At 38.5% G+C, this 21976-nt stretch overlaps 1 protein-coding gene across 10 annotated transcripts in view; it reads left to right on the forward strand.

Annotated features, from left to right (window-relative positions):
* The window catches only part of WWP1 (WW domain containing E3 ubiquitin protein ligase 1), a 125957-nt gene that overhangs the window by 59921 nt on the left and 44060 nt on the right, over positions 1 to 21976 (forward strand). For all 10 annotated transcript variants that reach the window (NM_007013.4, XM_024447056.2, XM_005250761.5 and 7 more), the window contains one exon: positions 9071 to 9407. In NM_007013.4, the coding sequence (NP_008944.1) occupies positions 9071 to 9407 (337 nt within the window). The remainder of the gene's footprint in view (positions 1 to 9070; positions 9408 to 21976) is intronic.

Here is a 21976-nt window from a genome sequence, read left to right on the forward strand (position 1 = left end):
TTAATAGAGACAGAGTTTCACTTTTTTGGCAACTGGCTGGTCTCGAACTCCTGACCTCAAGTGATCTGCCCACCTCAGCCTCCCTAAAGTGTTGGGATTACAGGCATGAGCCACTGCACCCAGCCTGTGCAGTCTTTCTTAATCTTCTAGTCTATGATAGGAATTTAAAAATTACAATGCCTGAAATTTTTCCTAATAATTTGTAACTTTCTGGATTATTTAGGAAGATATTTCAAAAATATTTTAGAGGTCAGAACTTTTACTGAGCAAGTGCTTATATGAGAGCTAGATTCTTAAGCTTTGCCACAAAAAATACTATGTAATTCATGATATAAAATATATTTCTGAAAGAACTTTAGTTAATTCATTGATTTCTAAGTAAAAGTGAGTAATGAATGGTTCTTTTATCCCATCTTTCAGTATACAAATTTATTATTCTTGGCATCTAACTTGGTGGAAAAATGTACTGCGAGTTGAATAGCTCTCAGAAAGTTTATTTTCCAAAAGTAAGCATTACTGTATTATAGAAGGAATGCCTAAGGAAGATGTCCTCTATAATCCTTAGTGGACTCATTTATAAGATTCATAAATTGTTTTGTTTGGTCATTGTATATTAACTCTTTCAGGTGAGTCTCCTGAAACTTAAACATCTTAGGACGTGTTTAAGATTATTAGCACACATGTTGGGAATTAAGTTGAAATCCTGGTCTTTTTATTCAAGAGCGTATGTTCCTCCCTGTGTTTGTCTATTTATGGAAGTATTCAGAATTAGAAACATGGAAAGAAGCAATTCAGTAATTACATTAAAATAGATGGATCTTTTTGATAATGAGTCTTTTATTTTTTGAGATGGAGTCTCACTCTGTTGCCCAGGCTAGAGGGCAGTGGCAGGATTTCGGCTCACTGCAACTTCTGCCTCCTGGGTTTAAGAGATTCTTGTGCCTCAGCCTCCTGAGTAGCTGGGATTACAGGTGTGTGCCACCATGCCCCCTAATGTTTGTATTTTTAGTAGAGATAGGGTTTCACCATGTTGGCCAGGCTGATCTCAAACTCCTGACTTCAAGTGATCCACCTGTCTCAGCCTCCCAAAGTGCTGGGATTACAGGCGTGAGCCACCGTGCCTGGACAGTAATAAGTCTTAATTGTGTATTTTTACCCAAGGTTGGTGTTTGGGGAGATGTTTACCAAGAGCTGTCTGAGAGTTTTTGTAAACATTGAGAACTGACACATGAATGATATTTTCAAAATTTAATTTCTTTAATAATGCTCCCCTTAAAAAAAAAAAAAGAAGTAGACTAAAATACGGTTTCCCAAGTACTCACAGTAGGTAGAATTTTTTAGTCTTAATTTAAGGTGGCTAGAAAACAAAGAGAAGAATAGATACAATTATGGTGAAATTAATGAGCAAAGTTCATGTATTTTCTGATTTTCACCTACTTTCTGGTAAGAACATTTGTCTCTGAGATTCCTATTAGCAAAGCAGAAAAGGAAATATTGTCTTGGATTATTCAGATTATTTCTAAATTAAGAACAGACTAGTTAAAACTGCTACTATTTCTAATACAGGTGGAGTGTCTCTAATCTGAAAAATCTCAAATCTGAAATGCTCCAAAATCTGAAACTGTTTGAGCATTGACATGATGCTGAAAGGAAATGCTCGTTGGAGCATTTCAGATTTTGAATTTTTGGATTAGGGATGCTAAACTGGCAAGTAAAATGCACATATTCCAAAATTTAAACAAATATCTAAAATCTGAAACATTTCTGGTTCCAGGCATTTTAGATAAGGGATATTCAACTTGAATATGGATTTGGAGGTTTTGATCTTATTCCTAAAATATTCAGCTGATGGAATACATTGGTGAAAGTATCCATTGACCACTAATTAGTTGTATGTTTTGGCATTTGGATGTATTCAGATGTTGATATAAAAAGGAGACGAAATTGAGGCTTTCCTCATCATAGAATCTTATTTATACCTCTACAGCTTGTCTGATACTTTATAGATTCTTTCCATTGGTAATAAGTTCAGTTCTCGCATTTCTTTCTTATTTATTCTTGCCTAAAATTTTAAGGTAAAAATAAAATGGATGTGAGGAACATGAAGGTTCCATCATAAATAATTCTCATGACATTCATAGTAACTGTAAGGAAATCTATGACAATCGGAAAAATAGTGATAATAGCTCATATTTGTGCCCTGCATGTTCTAAATAGTATATATCCATTAACTGATTTATCTCTCTCACAGTAACTCCTTGAAATAGGTGGTAGTATTTTTCCTTTTCTCTGATGAAGGAACTGAGGCACTGAGAGGGCACAGCTAGGAAGTAGAAGAACTGTAATTGACATTCCGCTATCTGGCTGTTGATTCTGTGCACTTTGCCTTCTTCCTATTCATTTTGATGTGTGTGGTTTTTATAGGATCTCAAAGCTATGCTGTTCATCTTTTATACTGCTAGGCTTCACACAGCATTCCCCTAGCCTTTTCACCACCTCTGATTATTGCTAGTGACATCTGACAAAACAATCTAACTGTCATCATTCTATTGGCCGGTTTACAGAGGCTTCCGGAACCTGCTCTGTTGGTAGCAGCCATTTAACTGATGTCTTTTTGTATGATTGTTCATCACTTAATAAAGGATGAATTCAGGTATCTTTTCAAGGAGTGGGTAATCCCTGTCCTTTTAAGGTGTTGGTATAAGATGGCATTACTTTTTCTAATTAAGGATTTCAAAAATTAGCTTTTGTTTTTGGAGATGGGATAGGGGTGTGCATATTCTATGTGTAACATAATTAAATGCTTTTAATCTCTTAATCTGCAGTTCCACAATCTTGAAATCTCTGAAACCAAAAGGATTTTTTTTTTTTTTTTTTTTTGGTAAACTCATTTGATGGCAAAATGACTAGAACTGATGAAAGGCTATTTATGGTTCTTATTTATCATGGCTACTGTGCATATCTCTACATTTCGCTGCAGAAATATTAATGTATTTAATCACGATGTGTGGCCCCTAAACCTCCTCCAGGCATAGTGTAATATACAATATATATGCCATTACCTTTGTTTGTTTGTTTTTTTGAGACAGGGTCTTGCCCTGACTTCCAGGCTGGAGTGCAGTAGCACCATCATGGCTCACTGTAGCTCTGACCTCCTGGGCTCAAGCGATCCTCCTGCCTTAGCCCCCTGAATAGTTGGGACTATAGGCATGTGCCACCATGCCTGTCTAATATTAAGATTTTTTGTAGAGATGAGGTTTTGCCATATTGCCCAGGCTAGTCTCAATCTCCTGGCCCCAAGCAATCATCCCACCTCAGCTTCCCAAATTGTTGGGATTACAGGGGTGAGCTACCATGTTGTCCACTGCTACCTTTCTAAATTCCAAAGAAAGTTATGAATTCTGGAACACACCTGGCACTTTGAGGTTTCAGATTAGGAATTGTGGGTCAATACTAAGGGGTTTAAGACAAACGATATATTTCTGTCAAAGACATTATTATATATGAGGGCTTCCACCTCCCCCACCTCCTGTTCTTTTGAAGCTTGAGTAAGGGGATCCATCTGACGGTTTAGTTGCTATGAAGATTGGCAGGTATTCCAGGTTAAAATGGGAGGCAGTCATGATGTAGTAAAAAGATTAGATTTAGCTTCTGACAGGAGGTAACGTGGTGTCTCAGCTCAACCACTTGCCATGTTAACTCTGTAACCTTGGACAAATTGAACATCCTCAAAATTTATGAAAAGAGGATAATATGCGACTACCTTATAGGACAGTTTTGGAGGTTAAATGAGATAATCTAAAACATTCATAATAGTCCTTGGAGAGTGGTATTTAAGAAAAATATATTCTGTTCCACTTTGTTCCTCTGGTCATAACTTCTAGTGTCAAATAACTTTTTCTAATATATAGTTGTTATTTTATTAATAAAGTAGATCAGAGCTCAGTATGGTGAGTTTCAGACAGAAGTACATGATATCACAAGTTTATTATATTTTTTTCTTAGCTCTTTATTCTGAAGTAATTATAAATAAACAGAAAGTTGCAAAGAAATGTATGGGAAGGTCCCATGCACCCTTCACCAGCCTCCTCCAGTGTTAACATCTTGTATAACTATTTTGTACAAAATCAGGAAATTGACATGAATACAACCCATACAGCTTGTTCACATTTCACCATTTCTACCTGTGTGTGTATGTGTGTGTGTGTGTTTCTATACAGTTTTGTCACACATATGGCTTCATGTACCACCAGTTCAATCCAGGTACAGAACTGTAGCATCACCAGAAGACTCCCTCATGATGTACCCTCTTTAAAGCTACATCCACTCTCAAGTGTGAACTGAATGTTAAAGAAACTTGCTGTGTATATGCAAGCAGTCATTTCTCATGTCATAGTTTTAAAATGGAGTAAAAATGGTATTCACTCTAGTATTTCTACTTTTTTCTTCTTTATTTGAATGTACTTTTAGGGTGAGGACAAATACGTGGTGCTTTGAGATGGATATACCATAAAGTTCATGTGAAACTTAACCTCTCAAAGATTAAACATGAAGTTAGGAAGCTATGTCTTGTAACCCAGAAGTCATAATGGCTGAAAGTAAGGCTTGGGAGATGTTCATTCAGAACCCAAGTCAGTGGGTGTGGTCTTATGTCTTGTGGAGATGAGATGGTTTGCATAAGCTTCTGCTATCATAACTATTACATAAGATTTTAATTTTTTGCCCCGTGTTTCTGCATGAGCAAGGAGCCTACCATCCTGTCCTTCCTCTTTCCTTTTCCTTTCCTTCTTTTTTCGGTTTTATCTGTTCAATCTTTCTTATATCCATTTGTCAACAGATGTTTATTTTGCAACTACCATAGGCTGCACACTGCCAGGTGGATGGGCACATAGGTATCAGAGTTTCTCAATTTCAGCACTGTTGACATATTGGCCCAGGTAATTCTTTGTTGTAGGGGGCTGTCCTGTGCATTATATTAATAGAATGTTTAGCAGTATTCCTGATCTGTATCCACTAGGTGCCAGTAATATCTTACCTTCTCCTAGTTGTGATGACCAAATGCATTTACAGACATTACTAAATGTCTTTGGCGGTGGGGAGAGCAGAATCTTCCCTAGTCAAGAACCATTGATATATATGAACAGTAATCTCTCCAGTCAAATATTATTGTGGCATCTTAATGCGGTTCTGAGCAGTATTGAAGAACCAACATTTGTTGAATTATTGAATAGAAATAATTTGTTTCTAAGAGTTTTTTTTAAATTAATAGACTTTATATTTTAGAACAGTTTCAGATTTACAGAAAAACTGGGGAGATTGTAGAGAGTTCCCATATGTCCTCCCATCCCACTCAGAGTTTTTGTATTACTAACATTTTGCATTACTGTGATGTTTGTTACAATTAATGAACCATTAATAATACATTGTTATTAACTAAAGTCCATAGTTTACATTACCTTATATTAACTAATGTTCCTTCTTTGTATTGTACTGGTTCTGTGGGTTTGAGAAATGCATATCGTCATGTACACACCATTACAGTATCATACAGAATAGTTTTACTACTCTAAAATTTGTTTCATTTGTTTATCCCTCAAACCCTTTGCAACAGCTGTTTTTAAATACTGGCTCTATAGTTTTGTCCTTTCCAGGATGCTACATAGTTGGAGTCCTACAGTGTGGGTAGCCTTTTCAGATTGGCTTCTTTCACTTAGCAAGGTGCATTTAAGGTTTCTCCATGTTTTTTGTGGCTTGACTTCTCATTTCTTTTTATCACTAAATACTCACTTATTATAAAGGCTCCTTGGTTACTTCAGTTTTTTACAATTGTGAAAAACATTGCTATATACATTTGTGTGCAGGCTCTTACGTGAATATAAGTCTTCAATTCAGTTGGATTGAGGAGTGAGACTGGTGGGTTGTATTTTTAAAGTATGTTTACTTTTGTAACAAACGGCCAAACTGTCTTCCAAAGTGGCTGTACTCCTGCATTCCCACTGCAGTGAATGAGAATTCCTAGTGCTTTGCATCTCACCAACATTTGCATTTCAAGGAGAGTTGTTTATTGTTTATTATTATTTTAACAATACTGAATCTTCCCATTGAGAGATATTTTATGTCTGTATTCATTCTTTTTAGTAATGTTTTTTAAAGTGTTTTCTTCACGCTGGTTGTGCAGTGGCTTACGCCTGTAATCCCAGCATTTTGGGAGGCCCAGGCTGGGGAATCACTTGAGGTCAGGAGTTCGAGTCCAGCCTGGGCAACATAATGAAATCCTAAAAATGCAAAAAAATTTAGCCGGGTGTGGTGACGCATGCCTATAATCCCTGCTACTTGGGAGGCTGGGGCAGGAGAATTGCTTGAACCTGGGGTGCTGAGGTTTCAGTGAGCTGAGATCGCGCTACTGCACTCCAACCTGGGTGACAGAGCAAGACTCTGTCTCAAAAAAAAAAAAATTTTTTTTCTTCGGATAGGTCTTGAAGTAATCTTGTTGTTGATCTTGTGTCTGTTCATTTTGCTGAAATGTTTTAGCTCCAATTAATTGGTTCTAATGGGGTTTTTAAAAAAATTTTCTTGTGTATTCTAAATAAATAATCTATTTGTCATTTTCACTACAAATGAGTTTTACCATATTCTTTCCAATGTTGTTATGACTTTTCTTAATGGATTGTCAAATATAATCAATACTGAATTGGCTTGGTAATTGTGATCTTCCTTGTTTTGTTGCTGATTTTAATTTATTCTTTTTCTTTTTCTTTCTTTTTTTTTTTTTTTTTTTTTTCTTCAGACGGAGTCTTGCTCTTTTGCCCAGGTTGGAGTACAGTGGCGTGATCCTGGCTCACTGCAACCTCTACCTCCCGGATTCAAGCAATACTTCTGCCTCAGCCTCCTGAGTAGCTGGGATTACAGGCACACAACCACCACACCCAGCTAATTTTCCTATTTTTTGGTAGAGACAGGGTTTCACCGTGTTGGTCAGGGTGGTCTCAAACTCCTGACCTCGTGATCCACCCGCCTCGGCCTCCCAAAGTGCTGGGATTACAGGCGTGAGCCACTGTGCCCAGCCCTGATTTTACTTTATTCTTGATCTTAATAGAAGTTCTTACAATAGGCTGGGCACAGTGGCTCATGCCTGTAATCCCAGAACTTTGGGAGGCCAAGTTGGGTGGATCATTTGAGGTCAGGAGTTCAAGACTGGCCTGGCCAACAAGGTGAAAGCCCATCTCTACCAAAAAATAGGAAAACTAACCAGGCGTGGTGGCGGGTGCCTGTAATCCCGGCTACTGGGGGGCTGAGGAAGGAGAACCGTTTGAACCCGGGAGGTGGAGGTTGCAGTGAGCTGTGATTGTGCCACTGCACTCCAGTCTGGGCCACAGAGCGAGACACCTTCTCAAAAAAAAAAGTTCTTAAAATGTTTTACAATTATTGTATATTAATGACTGTAGGTTTGTGATAGATAATCTAGATTACTTCTTAATTTTTCATGATTCTTCTTATCAGGCATTTTACCAAGATTTTCTTGAATGCTTTTGGTTTGTTTTGAAAATAATCATATGACGTTTATCCTTTAATCTGCTAACAGTAGATTTTCTAATGTAGTTTCCTAATATCAAATCATCCTTGAATTTATACATGATGTTAGTCTATAGTCTTCTTGTTCTGTTGTTGTTCAGTTTCAGCTTTGAAAGTTTACATTACCTTCCCAGAATAAGTTAGGACACTCCTTTTCACTTTTTCTCCCCTAATGTGTTATAACACCTTAAATAACATAAGAATGATCTATCCAATAAAGGCTTCATAGAATTTTCTCAAAAACCTTTCTGAGCCTGGAGCCTTTAGGAGGGATGATATTAGAACTTTCATCACCTTTTCCATTGCTGCTCTGATTTGTCTTTTTTTCTTTCCCTTGAGTTAGTTTAGCTAATTTCAAACTCATTGATATGAAATTGTACGTGGTATTTCTAATGTTATTTATATTAAACATGTTTTCTTTATAACACTTGGAAAGGTATATTTCATGGTTTCTCCAGCTTTCCTGAGTAAAAAAATCATATGCATTTGTTAAAAATGCAGATCCCCAGGTTCTTCCCTAGAGATTTCCCCTAGAGATTCAGTAAGTCTAGGATGAGGACTTAGATACTATATTTTCAGTAAGTTCTGGAGTCTTATCAGGTGCATTAGGAAATTCTGATCTTTTTTTTGGGTCTTTTGACCAAAATTCATTTTCTTCTACTTACTTTTTTTTTTTTTTTCTGTATCTGGAATGAATTCTAAGCTCTTTTGTTACCATTCTTTCTTACATCTTTAGGTACTTCTTTGGCCATGTCCAGTAGCATTTAATCTGAGTGTTTTCTTTTTGTCATTAATTCTCCTAAAATTTGTGATTATGTCTCCCTCTGCCATTTCCATTAGAACTTTGATATATGGTCTTCCAGTAGGTTTTGTTCTGTAATCTATTCACCCTTACAGTTTTAATTTGACTCATTTTTATAGTGACACGTAGTCGAACTAGATCAATCACACTTAAAATGAAAATTAGGAAAACTGTGTCACTGGATTGCAGTACTGGGTTATTTCTTGAAAAAGTGTAGAATGGGTTCTTGCAACCCCTATAGTACTATCTTAAGAACTGATGCCATCATACAGTTCCTACTATTGGCAAAACAGTTCGTTTGATGTTAGCTACCACTTACACAAGGGAAGGGCGATTGAAAGGGATCATTTTTCAGAGTTTAGATGGCCCATACAGACTTCCTCTCAGAATTGATGATTTGGAGGGAAAACACTGGTTATCTTAATGCTGGTTCCTCTCTCCTTAAGGTTGTTATTATTATACATACTTAAATTTTTATCATTTACATATTCATCCCTGAAATTTTGAGCAACAAAAATAAAATCTCCATTTTATTTTATGTTACATATTTTGAAAATATTACTTTGTCTGCTGTTTGGAGAATGGATTGTAGTTGCTTAGTCTGGATTAGGCTCTGAATAAGTGTAGTCAATTGATTAGGTAATTGATTGCTTTATCATTACTTGATAGATGATTTTATTAATTTTCCCTTCTCAGTTAATGGAGAATCATCCTCATTTGCACCAACTGATAATGCGTCTGTCACGGGTACTCCAGTAGTGTCTGAAGAAAATGCCTTGTCTCCAAATTGCACTAGTACTACTGTTGAAGATCCTCCAGTTCAAGAAATACTGACTTCCTCAGAAAACAATGAATGTATTCCTTCTACCAGTGCAGAATTGGAATCTGAAGCTAGAAGTATATTAGAGCCTGACACCTCTAATTCTAGAAGTAGTTCTGCTTTTGAAGCAGCCAAATCAAGACAGCCAGATGGGTGTATGGATCCTGTACGGCAGCAGTCTGGGAATGCCAACACAGAAACCTTGCCATCAGGGTATGTTAAGCTTTTTAATGTCTGACTTGCATTTAAGTAGCAACTCTGTTAACATACGATTATTGAATGTGTGCATAAAATGTTTTCATTGTTCAGAACTTTGAAATCTAAGTTGGGATCTGAATCATACTATTTATTTACTTGCTACAAAACAAGTACTTTTTGAAACTAAGAACAATTGCTCATCTGGTTGACATATATGTAGTACGAAGGGAAAAGAAAAAACCTGATGTTAATTAGCAAGACCCTCTTAATTTGATTCTTGGTTTATTTCTACTTTTCGTAAGAGTGACCATGATACTCCATATAATATCCTCAGTTCTCTGGCATCCTTGGTGATCTGTTTTCCAGACCTCATACTGGAGAGCAAATAGCTCTTCTTTTCCTCAGCTAATATTGAGTGCTGGGGAGTCACAAACCTTGCTGATTGGCTCTATTAAAAATGCAGTTTTTCATTGCTGGTTAGTAATTCTTAATCTCTTTTAAGTTTCTCATTATAATTACTCAACTTCCCATGATTTTCTTTAAAGAGTATTCTATATGTGTATTCCATTCGGTAATTTCTTTGACCTTTGGCACTGATAATACTAATATTAATTAATGATTAATTGTCTCTGCCTTCAAGAAGCTTATTTAGTGATTCACAGTTGTAAACGTGTACAGTATATACAGTACAGTCAGAAAGTATATATGGACACGTGCTTTCCAACACAGTTTACAGTGATCAGAATGTCAACTGTTGTAGCTATTGAAACTGCACTTCTAGATGTCTCTACACTATTGTCTTCATTTTGTTACCTCAGTCACTATGTTAGTGTACGTTGGTTTTTTTTTTGGAATTGTTTTTTTTTTTCTCAGTGCCCTTTACTGGCTCGTCTGATGTTGTCCACTGCTTAATTACGGTTTCAGCCTTTGGTCTTCCTTTGTGTGCTTACCCCAGTAGATCTAGCACTCTCCATTATTATTATTTTGGAGCAGAGTTTCATTCTTGTTGGCCAGGCTAGAGTGCAATGGCACGATCTTGGCTCACTGCAACTTCCGCCTCCCAGGTTCAAGTGAGTCTGCTGCCTTAGCCTCCCAAGTGGCTGGGATTAGAGGCACCCGCCACTATGCCCAGCTAATTTTTGTATTTTTAGTAGAGACGGGGTTTTTCCATGTTGGTCAGGCTGGTCTCGAACTCCTGACCTCATGATCCACCCGCCTTGCTTCCCAAAGTGCTGGGATTACAGGTGTGAGCCACCATGCCTGGCCAGCTCTCCATCATTTTAACTATTAAATCTATATGTTCAGGCCAGACTTTTCTTTGAGCTTATTTTCAACTACTTTTCCCTCTTCTGTTTCCTGGAAATGTTTCAGACCCTATATTAGCTTTCCTTTCCCTCTCAAAAATCTCTTGTCCTGTGTCCCATGTTTGGTAAATTAGTCAATTATCCTAGTCTCTCATGTGCCAGTCACTGTGGCAAAGACATATAAGAAGCTGTTCTTACTGTCAAGAACCTCATCGTCTAAGTGGTGGGGGAGGGGAAGAGAAGTAGACAATCAGCCAGCATACAGTACAATTAAAGCTATGCCAGAGGTAAGTTTAGGATGCCATGACAAGGAATACATGCAGAGAAGGAATGGGAGGAGTTACCTGCGCCGTTGACGTCAAAGAATACTTTCGAAAGCTATGACACGTCAGTGGATTCTGAAAGAAGAGGAGGAGTTAGCAAATAGTGGAGGCACGAGTGGTGAAAATTTCATTTTCAGTAGAGCCGACTGCACATTCAGATTCCTAGCACCCATGAAAATGAGTATGCTGAACCCAGGAATTATTATTTTGTTATAGTTTGAGTTCAGCATTTGAGGCAGCAAGATATATAATGCTGAAGAGAAAACAGCCCTGTGAAGAATTTTGTGTGATTTCGAAGGGTTTGGAAGTTTTTTCTGAAAACCACGAATAAGCATTAAAGAATGTAAAGCAGGGGAGTGGCATAATCCTCTTTGCTTTTATTAAGATCATTTTTGCAGTGGTATAGACAGCTGAGGAGTTAAGGAGTTGGGATAGCAGCCAGGCTGTTTTATAAATGAGGGAAGCCGGCATTCCAGTTCAAAACAGTAAGTACATAAACCTAATTCTGTTGAGACCAGATAAATGCTTCAGCAGACTTGTTGTCACCACTTATGATCTTTGTATTAGAATTTTGCAGTAATCTATATTAGTGTTTTTCAAATTGTAGAGTGCAACCCGTTAATAGGTTATGACCAGCATTTGAACACATAATGAAATAAAGAAATATAGGCGAGAATAGGAAATATTGGAAGATGTTAAATGTAGTAAGAATAAGCATTGTTTCCTGAAAGTTTGTTTTTCTGTGTGTGTGTGTGTGTGTGTATGTGTGTGTATGTAAGTAAAATCAGTAGATAAATAGCAATCTGGTATACACAGAGATATTTATATAAAACACACTTCTTACTGTGTAAACTGTGGTCAAAAAAAGTTTAAAAGCCACTAATCCAGGGGAGAAATTAAGAGAGCCTGAAGTGAGGTAAATGCTAATATTTTAGGTTGACATAAGATGGGTCTTGATAAGTTGTGGGGAGATAGAATAGAAAAAGAGTGGAACCAAGGTGGATTCTTCTGGCATACACAGCACCAGGCTGTGTAACCCTTTGAGTCAGCAGTTTTCAACTCCACATCATCTTCCCTCTTTGCTTAAAAATCTTACCTTAGTTCCTGTGTTTTCTTTTGTTTGGTAACTTACTGAGTCATTTAGCTAACAACAGGATAGGACTATGGGTGCCTCAATCCTGTTGATTGTAATGTACAGCCAAGTTGAGAACTGCTACTTCAAGTTCTTTTGTTAACCCTTTACTCTCCACATTTTTTAATTCACTTTATATAGAGATATGTAGATGAAATAAAAAAATTCTGTGTATCAAAATCTAAAGTATGCATCAGTGAAAAATTGGACAGTGTATTAATATTGAGTACTTTTCAGAGAGATTAAAAATACATTCTGAATCCCCCCCCCATCCCCCCACCCCCGCCCCTAAATAGCGATTAGGCAACTGGGTCATGGCATATTTGACTGAAATAATGATAGAATGTTGGACTTAGGGTAGGAGAGTGATGAGAAAGTGTTCTGTATTTTGTAGGGCATCCAGTTGATATATGTACCTCATGCCGTATACCAAGGAGGCAGTTATATGTACAGTTCCAGAACTGAAGAAGAATATTCTAGCCTGGAGATAACATTTGAGTGTTATGCCAAGCACGATTTTGCCTAAAGAACTTTGCATGTGCTCTTTTATGTATTCTCAAATATACTCAGGTTTTGTTAAAATGTTACCTCATTCCAGAGGTGTTTTTTGAGTCTCCTGTCCAAATCAAGCCAGTTTCCCCACATTTCCGTATCCTGCTTTATTTTCCCCAACATTTTATGTTGAAAATTTACAAATGTACAGAAAATTATAATTTTGCAGTGAAAACCCATACACTTCCCACTAGATTTTACAATTGACCCTTTATTGTGCTTGCCTTATCTCATCTCTTCATCTCTTCATCCATCTGATTTTTAGTGCATTTCAATGAGTTGCAGACATCAATATGTTTTGCCCCTCAACACTTCAGCTTGCAAATCATTAACTGGAATTCAATATGTTTTAAAATTTTTTTAGATAAAGATGACAAAGAAAGAAAAACACGAGTCTTGAATGTACCATTATGATGAATTTTGGCAAATGCGTATGTCTGTGTAACTCAAATCTTTATCGAGATACAGAACATTAATATCACCCTAGAAAGTTGTGATTCTGAGGCAATCAATATTCTAATTTTTTCTACTATAGATTAATTTTCCCTGCTGTAGAACTTACTATAGATGGAGTATGAACTCTTTTGAGTAGGCTTCTTCTAATCAGCATGATGTAACCTTTATTATTTTTCTAGCACTTAAATTATGTGACACACAGTGTTATTATCTGTTGTCTCTCCACTAGACTGAAGGGAGATTTTATTTTGTCTATTTCTATATTCTTCGTGCTCAAAACTATGCCTACCGTATAGCAGGCACTCAATAAATATTTGTTAAATAAGTGAATTTGTGCTACATTAAATGATTTAGAATGACTGAGCAATTGGGCAAAAGCTCTGGCTGGTAAATGCCTCTGGAAGAAATGGTTAACAAGGTCAAAAGCCACTGAAAAATTCTAGGAAGATAAGAACTGAAAGGCACTCATTGAACTTAATTACAAAGAGTTTATTTATTGTTGACCCATGACAGAGTGTGGTTTCAGGGAAATAATAAGAGCTGTATTCAAATTGCTGTGAGTTGGGAGTGAATGAGAGGGGAGGAAGTGTGATAGAGGACTCTTTGGAAGCATGTGAACTAATGTAGAAAACTCTTTCTGTGTGAAGACAAAGGGAAGGAGGAATGTTTGAAAGAAGTGAGCAAGAGGACATACAGAACTGAGGGGTAGATTGTTTTGTAAAATGGAAGAGACTGACAGGTTGATCTGCTGATGCAGTAGGTCAGTGGAGGGAGAGATTGGCCAATACTAGACAGAAAGAGGATTAACTCTGGGATTGTAGTTATGACAAGGCAGCAAGCAGTCTTACTGCCAACCCCTGTTATATAAGTTTGAAGCCAGAAGTTGCCCAGTCGTTCACCAAATTTTATTATTTTTATTGTAATGTATTTTTCAAAATTCTTCCACATTTCTTTTTTTTTTTTTAAGCAAAGTCTTTGTTCAGTACTAGGTTTTGAAAATTTGTATATAATGTTTTAGTGAGACAGAGAGACCATACCTAAACACTAGGTAGAAGAGGGTTATGGTTGAAGGTGAAGTGTGGCAGTTATAAATTAGAGTTCTATTGAGAATTCTCATTAATCAGTAATTTGGTAATTTGCACCTAGTTGAGGGGTGTTCATGAATTTTCACTACGGGATTATCTGGTCTCTGGCCAAATCCAGCCCACCACTTTTATAGGTACAGCTCTAGCAGGCTGTCACTGTGAGTCATGGAGACAAAGCCAGAGCAGCCCCCTTTACCCCTGTACCACTTCCCCCTGAAAGTACCTTCCTCCCTTGCTGCCCAAGGCCTGCTCTGGTCACCACCACATTCTGGGGACTCACTTTTGGTAGCTACCAGGTCCCAAGCCTTGGACACATACCCTGGGAGTGACATCTCAGCACGGTGATACCTCTTGGGCCAGCTGCCAGGGGAGGAGAGAAGGGCACACACAGGGATTCAGGAGTCCCTGGGGCAGACAGTGAAATTGGCCAGGCTGCTCCCTTGTGGACCAGGAACTCTGTGTTCTGAGAATGTTGTCAGCAGCGGGAACTGGGTACACAACATGCCCACAACCCGGGATGCCCCAGCACAAGCAGAGAGGGTGGAGCAGGTCAGGAGTCTCTTTTTATGTAAGTACCTACATAATCATCTTGATTATACCTTTGGTTCACAAAGCCTAAGATATTTACCGTCTGGCTCTTTGTAGAAATTTGCCTACTCCTTATCTAGTGCATTATAGATCTAATAAAGTGCATTCTAGAAAATGCACTTTAGAAAATTAGAAATAAGATAACCGAAAGCAGTTCTGAATATAATGTTCTGTGTAGCAAGAAATTTAGTTTGAGAAAGACAAATTCTATTTAGAACAAACACACTGAAATCTGGAAGTGATCTAAAAGATCAGTGACTAGCATTGTGCTTGGAACGTAAGTGCTTACTGAATATTTGTTAGATGGTAAGTTAGAAATACTTGAAGTTAACTCAGGATAAAACAGAAAAGGGCTTCATAGCCCATTGTATGGATGGAGGGCTTGGTTGTGTTTATTTTTTCCCCCAATTTTAAAACTGTTTCTGATTACAAAATTAAGACATGACCAAATACAATATTTAAGTCATATAGAAATATTAATAGTTCTTAAGCTCACCACTGAGAATGGTGTCTATATATATTATTCCAGTAGCAAATATTTGAGAGCCTTGTTCTAGGCATGTGCAGCAGGGCAGGAGAGCTCAAGGCTCTGTTGTGTAGCACCTGTTGTGTAAAGCTTGTATTTCAGTGGGAAGACAAACAGTGGCCTTATGTAAAAAAACTCGTTGAGTAATGTCCGATAGTGACAAGTTCTATGAGACAAGATAAAAGTGGATGAAGAGGCTAGAGAGCAGCTATATAAATTATTATTTTGCATAAAATATTTTCATAAATAGAATCATACTGTATATAGTTTTTCAGTTGCTTTTAAAAAAAAACTTAGTCATATTTCCACATCAGTACAAGTAAATTCACACATTGACCAAATATTTAATCGACAAATATTTATTAAACTCCTTGTCTGTGTGGCAGGCTCTGTGCTAGGTGCTGTTAGTATACTGATTTGCAAAACAGTTGAAGGCCCAAACTTTGTGGAGCGTATGGTCTAATATATAGGTCTCCCTTAATTCTTTTGAATGGTTTGTAGCGTTTCCTTGTGTATTATTTATTGCTATATAATAAATTACCCCAGAATTTATCTCACACAGTTTCTGAGCATCAAGAATCAGGAAGTGCATTAGCTGGGTGCTTCTACTTGGGGTTCTCATGAGGTTGCCATCAAGCTGTTGGTGGGGGCTGCAGTCATTTGGAGGATGGTTAAGTGCACCTCACTTAGCAAACCCAAGAGAGCTGGATTCTGGCCTGTCAGTGGGAAAAGCTCAGAATATGCATTGGCAGCATTGGATGCCTTTGGAAGTGGTAGTGAAGATGACACTGTAAATGGCAGGACTGAATGTTTGAGAAACCCTAATTCCCTTCCCTGCAGCCAGAACTTCTGCTCTGCCTAGGGGTTTTCTCACTGGAGATACTTGACGCTTGGGAACACCAGGCACATTGGAGGTCAGAGATACTGTCCTAAATCAGCAGACGTAAGTGAGCCTTTGAAAGGTTAGTAAGTGAAGAAGGTTGTAAAGTAAATTTTCAAATACACACCCAACACAGATCCCAGAATATTGACAACCAGGATTTTACCTCCTCAACCAGGAGACTAACAGTATCTTCTATTGAAGACCTCTCCAAAACACTGAAAATACTAATATAGATTGTTCTCTAACAAAACAGTCCCATTATTATCACTCTTTAATTAATCCACAATCCACAAGCCCCACCCAGGCACATAAAACTCCCAGTCAGTTTTCAGTGCCCTTCTCATTAGATATCTGAGGGAAACCTCTTAATTTGAAAGATAGAGATCAAAAAAACAACCTAGAAAATACTGTTTTAAGATATCAGACTAGGGCTGGGCGCGGTGGCTCCCGTCTGTAATCCCAGCACTTTGGGAGGCCTGGGCACGCAGATCACTTGGTCAGGAGTTCAAGACCAGCTTGGCCAATATGGTAAAACCCTGTCTCTACTAAAAATACAAAAATTAGCCAGGCATGGTGGCACGCGCCTGTAGTCCCAGCTACTCAGAAGGCTGAGGCAGAAGAATCGCTTGAACCTGGGAGACGGAGGTTGCAGTGAGCTGAGATCACACCACTGCAGTCCAGCTTGGGTGACAGAGCGAGATTCCATCTCAAAAAACAAAAGATAACAGACTATTTTAATATCCTCTGAGGGATAAAAGTAGATACAACATACATACAACAAGAACCCAATGCTATAAAAATGGAATACTCAAAGGACTAAAAAACTCTTGGAAATTTAATTCAGTGTGAAATTTGACTGATAAAGGTAAAGAAATTTGCCAGACAGTAACACATAAGGACCAGTTCAGACAGTCTGATAAGAAAAGTTCTAGAAAGAGAGAAAATGGGAGGAAGTCCTTAACAAAATAACAAACACAAATTTCTTTATTGAAGAATAAACACAAATTTCTTCATTGAAAAGACTCACTAAAAATCCAGGATGATAAATGAAAACAGATCTATTTTAAGACAATTTGTTGTGAAAATTTTAGTACATTGGGGCCAATTAAATTCTAAATATTTTCAGCGATTGAAAAAGCAGGTTTCATAATAATCAGAATGGCATCAGATTTCCTAGAATCAACACGAAAAGCTAGAAGACAGTGGAAGAGAGTGGGTCCATGCCTTAAATGCTGAAGGAAATTATGCCCAACATATAATTCTGTATCCAGCCACACTGTTTAGTGTTTGCATAGAATAAATACATTCTATGCATATCCTAGGTTTCCAAAAGTTCACTTCTTATGTCTTCTTTCTTAGAAAGCTACTAGGACTTGTGTTTTCCCAAAACTGGGTAGTGAAAGTAAAAGACGTTGGAGGCAGGAATTAGAGGGTCTGCTAGGAGAGGAGTGAAAGGAATGCCGCACAATGATAAAGGAAAGCCCAAACTGGCCTCAGACAGCACTCACTCTAGACTAGAAGCTAATCAGAAGGCAGGTGCAATCATAGAACAGCTAATGAGCTTGAACGTTTTAAGAGGAGATTTATGCAACTGGAAAAGTATTTGGGGTTTAACGATAAGAATGTAGACAATAAGCAAATGGAAGTGGAGATAATTTTTCTAGCTAATAGTATTTTTTAAAAAAAGAAATTGGGGTATGTTCCATGGCTCATCTGTGGGGAGAGTTTACATAGTCATAATGATAACTGTAAGGGAAGGTACAACATATGTGTATATTTGGAATGGTTGGGAGGAGGGTAAGTGTAGATGTGTATGTGTGCAGGAAAGAGACCTGCAGCTTCACCTTTCCTAATAAAAAGTCAATACATTATGTTTGAAATTAAACAAATCACAATAAGTCAAGGAAGTTAATAAGTAAAAGAAGTAAATACCAAAAAAATGGACTGAAACAGTTGAAAATGTTGCCTTGGGGAGTGGAAAATGAAGTGAAAGAGACAGTAGGTACTGTTGTTTTTTGCAATAAGTCTCACAGACTGTATGACTCTGTTTATGTGAAGGTATATATAATTATATAGCTATGAAGGTATATTTTAAACTATCTGAAAGTATATGTAATTTTGATAAAAAATTAAAGCTAAATTAAAAATAGTAAAGGATATTTGTGAAGAAACAGTTGAAACCAGGAAATTTTGCTGTAGGACAGCAATAAAAATTCAAGGACTGCTTATGGGAATTATTACCTAAAAATAGCAAAAGTGAAACTTGATCAGGTTTTTAGGTATTCATTTGGTTTTGGTAGTTAAGCTTTCATACAGAATAGCCCATTGTTACATGTTAGACATATTCCTGACAGGCCTTTAAAATGAAATTTTATATTTAACTCCTTCTTTCCCGTGAGCTTTTTATATAAACAAATAAAGTAAATCATAACTTTCAGATTGTCTGATTTTAGTGAAATGCTTTATAAGAAATATCTAAGTTTTTACAGTACTGAATATCATGAGTGTTCCAGTGTAGGATATAATAGGCAAGTTTAATAATTTTTGTGATCCCGAGTCAGTTCTGAACTTGGGAATCTTTATGGTTACTACTTAAGCATTTTGTGACTTAGGTTTGTTAGATGCAGGCTAAACAATTTTTTAAATTTTTTGTGTGCATTTGTCATTTTAAGTATGTATGTGTTTATGGGTGCAAACTAGGGAGTAGTTTCAGTATATATGGTTATCGTGTATAAAAATAATTTAAAGAAAATAAGCACTCTTAATAAAAAAATAAATTTAATTGGGTTCTTTTTTGGGGGGGTTCTCCCAGATTGATTTAATATTTGAAAATAGGCCGGGCATGGTGGCTCACGCCTGTAATCTCAGCACTTTGGGAGGCCGAGGCGGAAGGATCACGAGGTCAGCAGTTTGAGACCATTCTGGCTAACACGGTGAAACCCCGTCTCTACTAAAAATACAAAAAATTAGCTGGGCGTGGTGGCTGGCGCCTATAGTCCCAGCTACTTGGGAGGCTGAGACAGGAGAATGGTGTGAACCCGGGAGGCGGAGCTTACATGAGCCAAGATTGCGCCACTGCATTCCAGCCTGGGGGACAGAGCGAGACGCCATCTCAAAAAAAAAAAATTTTTTTTGAAAATATAAATTTACCATATTAACAAATAATCGGGAAAAGCTATTTGATCCTCTCTCAAAATTTTGCAGATGGGGAAGGGAGGTAGAAGGAAAGAGTGCTGGATTCTTTATGGGAGATCCTTGAGCCTCCCTCTTGGTGCAGGACAACTTATCAAAACTCACCATTCCAAGTTAGGGCTTCTTGATAAGCACTCACATTTAAAAACAGAATCTTTTATTGTGAAACATCACACATACACAGAAAAGTACTTTCCTTCAAAATATATAGATGAAACTGATTTATCACAAAATACACATTTGTAACCATCACACAAGTCAAGAAAGAGAACATTGTCAGCACCCCAGGAATACTCTCTCATGTCGCTTCCGAAACACTGCCTTCTCGAGTTCTTGTGTTTAAGAAAAAGGAAAATATTTTCTGGTTATTGTATTTTAAAATTGAAAACTAGTGTCTTAAACTCAGAAGTACCAGTTTGTATTTATTTATTTATTTATTTATTTATTTATTTATTTATTTATATTTTATTTTATATTTTTAAGACAGAGTCTTGCCCTGTCACCCAGGCTGGAGTGCGGTGCAATCTTGGCTCACTGCAACCTCTACCTCCTGGGTTCAAGCAGTTATCGTGCATCAGCATACCGAGTAGCTTGGATTACAGGAGTGTGTGCCACCATGGCTGGCTAATTTTTTTTTTTCTTTGGGATTTTTAGTAGAGATGGGGTTTCTCCATGTTGGTCAGGCTGGTCTTGAGCTCCTGACCTCAGGTGATTCACCCTCCTTAGCCTCCCAAAGTGCTGGGATTACAGGTGTGAGCCACCACGCCCGGCCCACCAGTTTTTATTTTTAAAAATTATTCTTCTTTACCATATTAAGAAGACTAAAGAGAAATTAACGGGAATCACAGAAGAAAAAATGAGAATGGGAGAAACAAGAGATTGAGAGTCTTCAAAATAGAATAGGAAAAAGATAAAAACGTCATTTCCATAAATTCAGAGACCTACCAAAACCAGAACCAAAATTAGGATAGATATGCACAATGAAAAGATACTGTGCACACAGATGAAAGAATTTTCATGGGGCAGTATCACCACATATTTCTTTAAGGCGATTTCTGCTAAAAATCTTTTAGATGGGTACTTTTGAAATTATAGCAAAATCAGTATATTATTTCATAGACACTTTGTGCCTTGGATTTAATATTAAGTTGAAGGTTTCTTCATTTTTTTTTTTTTTTTGGAAACTGAAAATTAGTGTTTATTGAATACCTAAAATGTATTCAGACAAAAATAGACTAGAACTAATTAGCATAATTATTGTAATCCTAGATAAATATCAAATGTCAGAAAAAGGGTAATTTTTATTTTTATTTATTTATTTATTTTATTTATTTATTTTTTTAATTGATCATTCTTGGGTGTTTCTCCCAGAGGGGGATTTGGCAGGGTCACAGGACAATAGTGGAGGGAAGGTCAGCAGATAAACAAGTGAACAAAGGTCTCTGGTTTTCCTAGGCAGAGGACCCTGCGGCCTTCCACAGTGTTTGTGTCCCTGGGTACTTGAGATTAGGGAGTGGTGATGACTCTTAAGGAGTATGCTGCCTTCAAGCATCTGTTTAACAAAGCACATCTTGCACTGCCCTTAATCCATTTAACCCTGAGTGGACACAGCACATGTTTCAGAGAGCACAGGGTTGGGGGCAAGGTCATAGATCAACAGCATCCCAAGGCAGAAGAGTCTTTCTTAGTACAGAACAAAATGGAGTCTCCTATGTCTACTTCTTTCTACACAGACACAGCAACAATCTGATTTCTCTATCTTTTCCCCACATTTCCCCCTTTTCTATTCCACAAAACCGCCATCATCATCATGGCCCGTTCTCAATGAGCTGTTTGGTACACTTCCCAGACGGGGTGGCGGCCGGGCAGAGGGGCTCCTCACTTCCCAGAAGGGGCGGCCGGGCAGAGGCGCCCCCCCCCCACCTCCCGGACGGGGCGGCGGCTGGGCAGAGGCGCCCCCCACCTCCCTCCCGGACGGGGCGGCTGGCCGGGCGGGGGCTGCCCCCCACCTCCCTCCCAGATGGGGCGGCTGGCCGGGCGGGGGCTGCCCCCATAAGCGCTAACTTAAGTTAGCGCTTATGGGGCTGCCCCCCACCTCCCTCCCGGACGGGGCAGCTGCCGGGCGGAGACGCTCCTCACTTCCCAGACGGGGCGGCTGCCGGGCGGAGGGGCTCCTCACTTCTCAGATGGGGCGGCTGCCAGGCAGAGGGGCTCCTCACTTCTCAGATGGGGCGGCCGGGCAGAGACACTCCTCACCTCCCAGACTGGGTCACGGCTCGGCAGAGGCGCTCCTCACATCCCAGACGGGGCGGCGGGGCAGAGGCGCTCCCCACATCTCAGACGATGGGCGGCCAGGCAGAGACACTCCTCACTTCCTGGACAGGATGGCGGCCGGGAAGAGGCGCTCCTCACTTCCCAGACTGGGCAGCCGGGCAGAGGGGCTCCTCACATCCCAGACGATGGGCGGCCAGGCAGAGACGCTCCTCACTTCCCAGACGGGGTGGCGGCCGGGCAGAGGCTGCAATCTCGGCACTTTGGGAGGC

The sequence above is a fragment of the Homo sapiens genome, chromosome 8, assembly GCF_000001405.40.
Source record: "Homo sapiens chromosome 8, GRCh38.p14 Primary Assembly".
In the NCBI taxonomy this organism is placed as follows: Eukaryota; Metazoa; Chordata; class Mammalia; order Primates; family Hominidae; genus Homo; species Homo sapiens.